The sequence below is a fragment of the Homo sapiens genome, chromosome 20 (assembly GCF_000001405.40).
Source record: "Homo sapiens chromosome 20, GRCh38.p14 Primary Assembly".
In the NCBI taxonomy this organism is placed as follows: Eukaryota; Metazoa; Chordata; class Mammalia; order Primates; family Hominidae; genus Homo; species Homo sapiens.
In genome coordinates this window covers 45880313-45886316 of record NC_000020.11, presented here as the reverse complement: position 1 = coordinate 45886316, position 6004 = coordinate 45880313, and the positions used below count along the sequence as shown (strand labels likewise).

The 6004-nt window shown below is 49.5% G+C and overlaps 1 protein-coding gene across 4 annotated transcripts, besides 2 other annotated features; it reads right to left on the bottom strand.

The window, feature by feature from the left end:
* On the bottom strand, positions 1051 to 5397 carry ZSWIM1 (zinc finger SWIM-type containing 1). Of its 4 annotated transcripts, none has more exons than XM_005260611.5 (2): positions 5128 to 5397; positions 1051 to 3784 (listed from the first exon to the last, which is right to left on the bottom strand). In XM_005260611.5, the coding sequence occupies exon 2, from the start codon at positions 3722 to 3724 to the stop codon at positions 2267 to 2269; it is 1458 nt and encodes a 485-aa protein (XP_005260668.1). In that variant the 5' UTR covers positions 3725 to 3784; positions 5128 to 5397; the 3' UTR covers positions 1051 to 2266. The 4 variants fall into 4 exon arrangements, with proteins under 4 accessions (XP_005260668.1, XP_005260667.1, XP_011527402.1 ...); XM_005260610.6 differs by lacking the exon at positions 5128 to 5397 and adding an exon at positions 4899 to 5090; XM_011529100.3 differs by lacking the exon at positions 5128 to 5397 and adding an exon at positions 4906 to 5090.
* Positions 5001 to 5080: an enhancer, noted in NCBI's record as "active region_17953". NCBI's record gives its function as "activates an Ori minimal core promoter by ATAC-STARR-seq in GM12878 lymphoblastoid cells {active_cell/tissue: GM12878}" and the evidence as "EXISTENCE:reporter gene assay evidence [ECO:0000049][PMID:35858748]".
* Positions 5331 to 5380: an enhancer, noted in NCBI's record as "active region_17952". NCBI's record gives its function as "activates an Ori minimal core promoter by ATAC-STARR-seq in GM12878 lymphoblastoid cells {active_cell/tissue: GM12878}" and the evidence as "EXISTENCE:reporter gene assay evidence [ECO:0000049][PMID:35858748]".

Here is a 6004-nt window from a genome sequence, read left to right as displayed (position 1 = left end):
GTAGATACAATGGAAATTATCTGAGGTAGGGGCCCCTGCTTGGAGAGTTAAGGCTGCTTTTATGTTGTTTTGAAGACTTGATCAGAATTTTTTTTTTTTTTGAGATAGGGTCTCACTGTGTCACCAATGCTGGAGTGCAGTGGCACAATCACAGCTCACTGCAGCCTCAACCTCCTGGGCTCAAGTGATCTTCCTACCTCAGCCTTCCTGAGTAGCTGGGACTACAGGCACGTGCTACATCCAGCTAATTTTTGTATTTTTTGTACAGAAGGGGTTTTGCCATGTTGCCCAGGCTGCTCCAATCTGCCTGTTTTGGCCTCCCAAGGTGTTGGGATTAGAGGCGTGAGACGCCGTACCTGGCCTACCCAGAATTTTTTTTTTTTAATTTTTATCTTTTAGACAGAGTCTTGCTCTGTCACCTAGGCTGGAGTGCAATGGCATGATCTTGGCTCACTGCAACCTCCGTCTCCCAGGTTCAAGTGATTCTCCTGCCTCAGCTTCCCGAATAGCTGGGATTACAGGTGCCTGCCACTACGCCCGGCTAATTTTTGTATTTTTAGTAGAGACACGGTTTCACCATGTTGGTCAGGCTGGTCTCAAACTCCCGACCTCAGGTGATCCGCCTGCCTCGGCCTCCCAAAGTGCTGGGATTACAGGTGTGAGCCACCATGCCTGGCCAGAATTTCTTATATTAAGTCCTAGGTATTTGAATTCTCCTCTTGCCTTAAATTTCCCAGCATGTTGAAGGCAGGTCATAGGACCATAGGCAAGGAAGGAAAATTAATACTTAATTGAGCACCCACTAGGTATGCCTGCTCTGTGAACATACCCTGTGGAGATCCCCATTTTTACAGATAATCAGGTTGAGGTTTAGAGGGGTAACTTATCCTAATAAGTCTCATAGCTAGTAAAAGGCAGAACCAGGCACAAAAATCAAGCAGGGAAGGAACCAACCAGGATTCACATGTTGTATAACACTCTAAAGTCTATTCTCTCCATGATATACCCTAAACTGCCTTCTATGGAACAAAAAAAAAACTAGACAAGTGCTAGAATATGCAACATTCAGTTTTATTGACCCCAGGATGGGACAAGGAAAAAAGTTCAGGGAGCCTGGCTGAGTCAGCTCCCCAGAGGGGCCTCTTCCCCTGTAGGAAGCCTCCCAGCCCAGCTCACTTAAAGGAGACGGGTTAAGTGAGTCATCTCATGACTGGGGCAACTGCTACCAAGCCCCAAACCTCAACCTCACCACCTGATGTTTTATCTCTTATCTTAGACCAGGGGTTGCCATTTATTTTATTTTTTTTAGATGGAGTCTCACCCTCCCAGGCTGGAGTGCAGTGGCAGCAGGATCTTGGCCTACTGCAACCTCTGCCTCCCAGGTTCAAGCGATTCTCCTGCCTCAGCCTCCCGAGTAGCTGGGATTACAGGGCCCCCGCCACCACACCTGGCTAATTTGTGTATTTTTAGTAGAGACAGGGTTTCACTATGTTGGCCAGGCTGGTCTTGAACTCCTGACCTCAAGTCATCTGTCCACCTCAGCCTCCCAAAATGCTGGGATTACAGGCGTGAGCCACCATGCCCAGCTGGATTGCCTGCTTTTTTAAAGACCTTTGAGCTAAGAAAGGTTTTTACCTTATGAAAATGTTAAAACAGGCCGGGTGCGATGGCTCACGCCTGTAATCCCAGCACTTTGGGAGGCCGAGGCGGGCAGATCACGAAGTCAGGAGATCGAGACCATCCTGGCTAACACGGTGAAACCCCGTCTCTACTAAAAATACAAAAAATTAGCCCGGCATTGTGGCGGGCGCCTGTAGTCCCAGATACTCGGGAGGCTGAGGCAGGAGAATGGTGTGAACCCAGGAGGTGGAGCTTGCAGTGAGCAGAGATTGCGCCACTGCACTCCAGCCTGGGTGACGGAGACAGACTCCTTCTCAAAAAAAAAAAAAAAAAAAAAAAGAAAAAAAATATTAAAACAAAACCAAGAATATACAACAGAGACTGTATGTGGCCACCTGAGTAAACTAAACAGATTAAGATTTGCTGACTCCTGTCTCATTGAGCTAGACACATGCTAGGTAGCAGGCCATGGTAGATGAGAAGACCCTTCAACCTTGTCCTTGTTGTCCTTGTTCTGGAAGGAGGGCCCACGGAAGTACAACAGTGTAAGGGAGTGTGTGTGTGTGTGTGTGTGTGTGTGTGTGTGTGTGTATGGGTGGATGTGAGTGTGCACAGGTGCATGAGCATCTCTGGGCATCGAGAATAATCAGAGTTGGACCTGCTCATAAGGCCCAATCCAGCTGTCGGCCAGTTCCCGCAGGGTGCTATACCTCCGCTCAAACTCCTCCTTGGTGCAGTGCTGCAACAGCTGACCCACCTCCTCGGTGAGGTGAGTCACTGCCAGGTGCTTATCCAGGGTCTCACTCCACTTGCTGCCCAGGATGCTGTCTAGACTGGTAGCACAGCCTGCCGTCCACTGAGCCGGCAGCATGTCGGGCTGGAGCACCTGGCGGCGGGCACTGAGCATGGCTAGGATGTGGCGGCAGGGCAGGTGGAAGGCCTGGTTAAAGTAGCAGCTGCAGCTGGCAGGGGGCTGGGGCTGCACCTTATGGGTATCTTCCAGGATCTGTATGTTCATCTTTTCTGAGCCAGAGCCAATGAGGTGTGTGGATTTCTGGACCACAGCAAGCTCGCCCAGGCACAGTTGGGCTGCTGGCCCTGTGCAGATGGCATTGAGGGAGTGCTGGATGTGGGATTCTACCAGCTGCTCCAGTTTGGGGCTTTCGGGGATGGTGTCTGAGGGAGCATGATTGTTCTGGGCACACAGGCCCTGGTTGAAGTTTGCCTTGTCTGCAGAGTTCTGCTGCATGTAACGGAACAGAGAAGCCATACCTTGTTTCTCAGATGGGGTGGTACCAAAGAACTGGCTGAGGATGTGGGTGGTGACCTCGAGGCTCTGGAAGTAGTGGCTGCTCTCAGCTCGGCTTCTCCAGCGGTGAGCCAGCCAGATGCGGTCGTTGAGCAGCCAGTGTGAGTGAAGCTCGGGCAGCTTGGCTGGAGGGATGCAGTTGCTCAGGAGTGTATACAACTTTCTCAGGTTGCCTGCTGTGGCTGAGCACATTGTGCTCTGCAGGGAGGTCAGGAGCAGCCTTTCCACGGGCCGTTCAAGGGACAGCTGATAGAACTTGGCCTGGAGGAACTTACAAATGTGGAAGGCTGAGAGAAGGACCTCAGCTGTGGGGAACTCCATAGCTAGGATAGGCAGTGGAAGGAAATGAGGATCCACCAGGATGGTACAGACTCTCTCCCATGCTGGATTAAACTTCTTGAATACTTGGAACATCTGGGCCAGGCCTTCAGTGTCCTCCTTGGCAGGGATGGCAAAGTAGACTGCTCGGGCAAGATGACCCTCCAGCTGCACCCGAGGTCCATCCACCAGGAAGGTATATAAGACCTTACCCCTTGGGTTATAGGTCCGGTGGATAAATAAGATCTCAGGGAAATGGTCAAAGACACTTTGCATAAAGCAGCTCTGGTAGTTGAAGGTATCTAACTGGGCAGTCTTGTTAACCTGGTGCAGCAGCATAGGTGGGCTTGAGTCCTTAATCAGGAGCCCATTCAGCATTGTCAGGGCCATGGGAGAGATGGGAGCTGTCCAAATGCCAAGGTCAAAATACTTTCTTTGCAGGGCAGCTGACCACGGGGCTTTGAGTCTCTCAAGCATCAAGTAAGTTGAGGCTGGAGGCTAGACAATCATTCCCAGATCTTTTTTCCAAAGATGGGCCTATGGAGAGTAACAGAGGTTTAAGGAGACAGCAGGGACCTGGCTCTTCAATTATTCATCCACACAATATTTGTTGAACACTTACTATATGTCAGCACTGTTCTAGGGGAAGATACACAATAAACATGTAAACAAATAAGCAAATATATATCCAATAATGAAGCTTACAAAGACCATAAACCTGAGTAACATGTCAGAGAGTAAGCTGGGGAAGGGAGGGATACTTTAGTTAAAGTGGTAATGGAAGGCCTCTCAGGGGAGAAGGATGACATTGGAGCTGAAATCTAAATGATAAGAAGTTAGCTATGGAAAGATATGGTTCCAGGGGATTTAAATAGGTATGGCCAGAGCTGCATATGGCCTTTTAAAAAAATAGCATTCTAGCCAGGTGCAGTGGCTCACACCTGTAATCCCAGTACTTTGGGAGGCCAAGGTGGGCAGATAACTTGAGGTTGGGAGTTCGAGACCAGCCTGGCCAACATGGTGAAAACCCGTCTCTACTAAAAATACAAAAAGAATTAGCCGGGTATGGTGGCCCATGCCTGTAGTCTCAGCTACTCGGGAGGCTGAGGCAGGAGACCTGCTTGAACCCAGGAGGCTGAGGTTGCAGTGAGCCGAGATTGCGCCACTGCACTCCAGCTCTGGGTGACAGAGTGAAACTCTGTCTCAAAAAATAAAATAAAATAAAAATACGATTTTATATTTATAAATGACTGATTGGCATCCATTCTTTCCTTTGGTCCTGGTATGTATAAGAGAACTGCAATTGCTCCAAACTTGCTGTGTTATCTTGGGCAAGTCAATGACCCTCTCTGAGCCTCAATCCCTTCCACCATAAAATATGGCTAACAAATGTGCATAGCTTCTCCTGCCTCTACTATATCCCTCTTTTAGCAGCAATACTCTATTCCATTGTTTCCTCTATTTGGCCCCAGACCGAGTTACTGTCCTCATTTTACAGATGATAAACTAAGGCTCAAAGAAGCTAAGTGACTTGCCCACCATTACTCTGTAAGTAGCTGAAAGTTGAGTCTTTGGTTCGGGATCCTGACTGCTGTCCACAGTACCTGGGGTCCAAAAACCAACAGAGGGAATACGGCCTTTGACCTCTCACCTCTAACCTGGGTGGGAGATGTGGATGTCTGACATTCCCAGAGTCCAGCTGGAGCCGGATGAGAAGAAAACCTCCCTCCCATCCCTTTGGGAGCTGTGTGACGGCTAACTGCGGTGATCCGCTGTCTCACACTTTCACCCCTTCAGGAAGCACTCACCCACAGCCAGGCTCCGTCGCCATTTCTCCCTATTTGACCCTGCCTCCGACTCTGACTGACATCCAAACTCACCAACCACAGCGTCAGCATCGCAGTGACTCGGACCAATGTCTGAGGAATTCGCTTTCAGGCTTTAGCACCACGGACCAATCGTAGCGTGACGATTCGCGGGCGGGCCGTGTTGCCAGGGTTACAAGGAGCTGGCTGGAGGTAAAGATACTTGCATCTGGGAGAGCTGAGCCTTGAAGCTGGAGCTCCGGGGCTTCCCTTCAGGCTAGGCGACTGGAAGGACACGTTACTATGGAAACTCCCTCAAAAGCAGAAAATGAAAAGGAAAATAAATAGCAGTTATATATATATTTTTTCTTTTTCTTTTTTTGAGATGGAGTCTCGCACTGTCGCCTGGGATGGAGTGCAGTGGCAAGATCTCGACTCACAGCAACCTCCGCCTCCCAGGTTCAAGCGATGATTCTCCTGCCTCAGCCTCCTGAGTAGCTGGGATTACAGGCACCCGCCACCACGCCCAGTTAATTTTTTGTATTTTTAGTAGAGACGGGGTTTCACCCTGTTGGCCAGGCTGGTCTCGAACTCCTGGCCTCGTGATTCGCCCACCTCAGCCTCCCAAAGTGCTGGGATTACAGGCGTGAGCCACCGCGGGTTTTGTTTTGTTGTGTGTGTGTGTGTGAAACTCTAAAGCCCCTGGAATTTAGGAAACAGTGCATATATAGTCATAACGCATATTCTACCTTATGGGGAAACTGAGTTCCAGGTCTCAAATTCTACTCCTCCTTCGGGGATCAGGAGCCCAACTTTTAGAGCTGAGGAAATCCAGATCCCCTTAAACAAGCCAAAACTTGGCATTCTCTAGCCCAACCCCCTCCAGTATTCTACAGAATGATGCCATGACTTATTTAGGGTCCTACTACAGTAGTGCAAGGGCCTACTAACT

Excerpts from the sequence above, each read along its gene's own strand:
- ZSWIM1 (XM_005260611.5), bottom strand. The coding sequence starts at position 3,724 with ATGCTTGAGAGACTCAAAGCCCCGTGGTCAGCTGCCCTGCAAAGAAAG.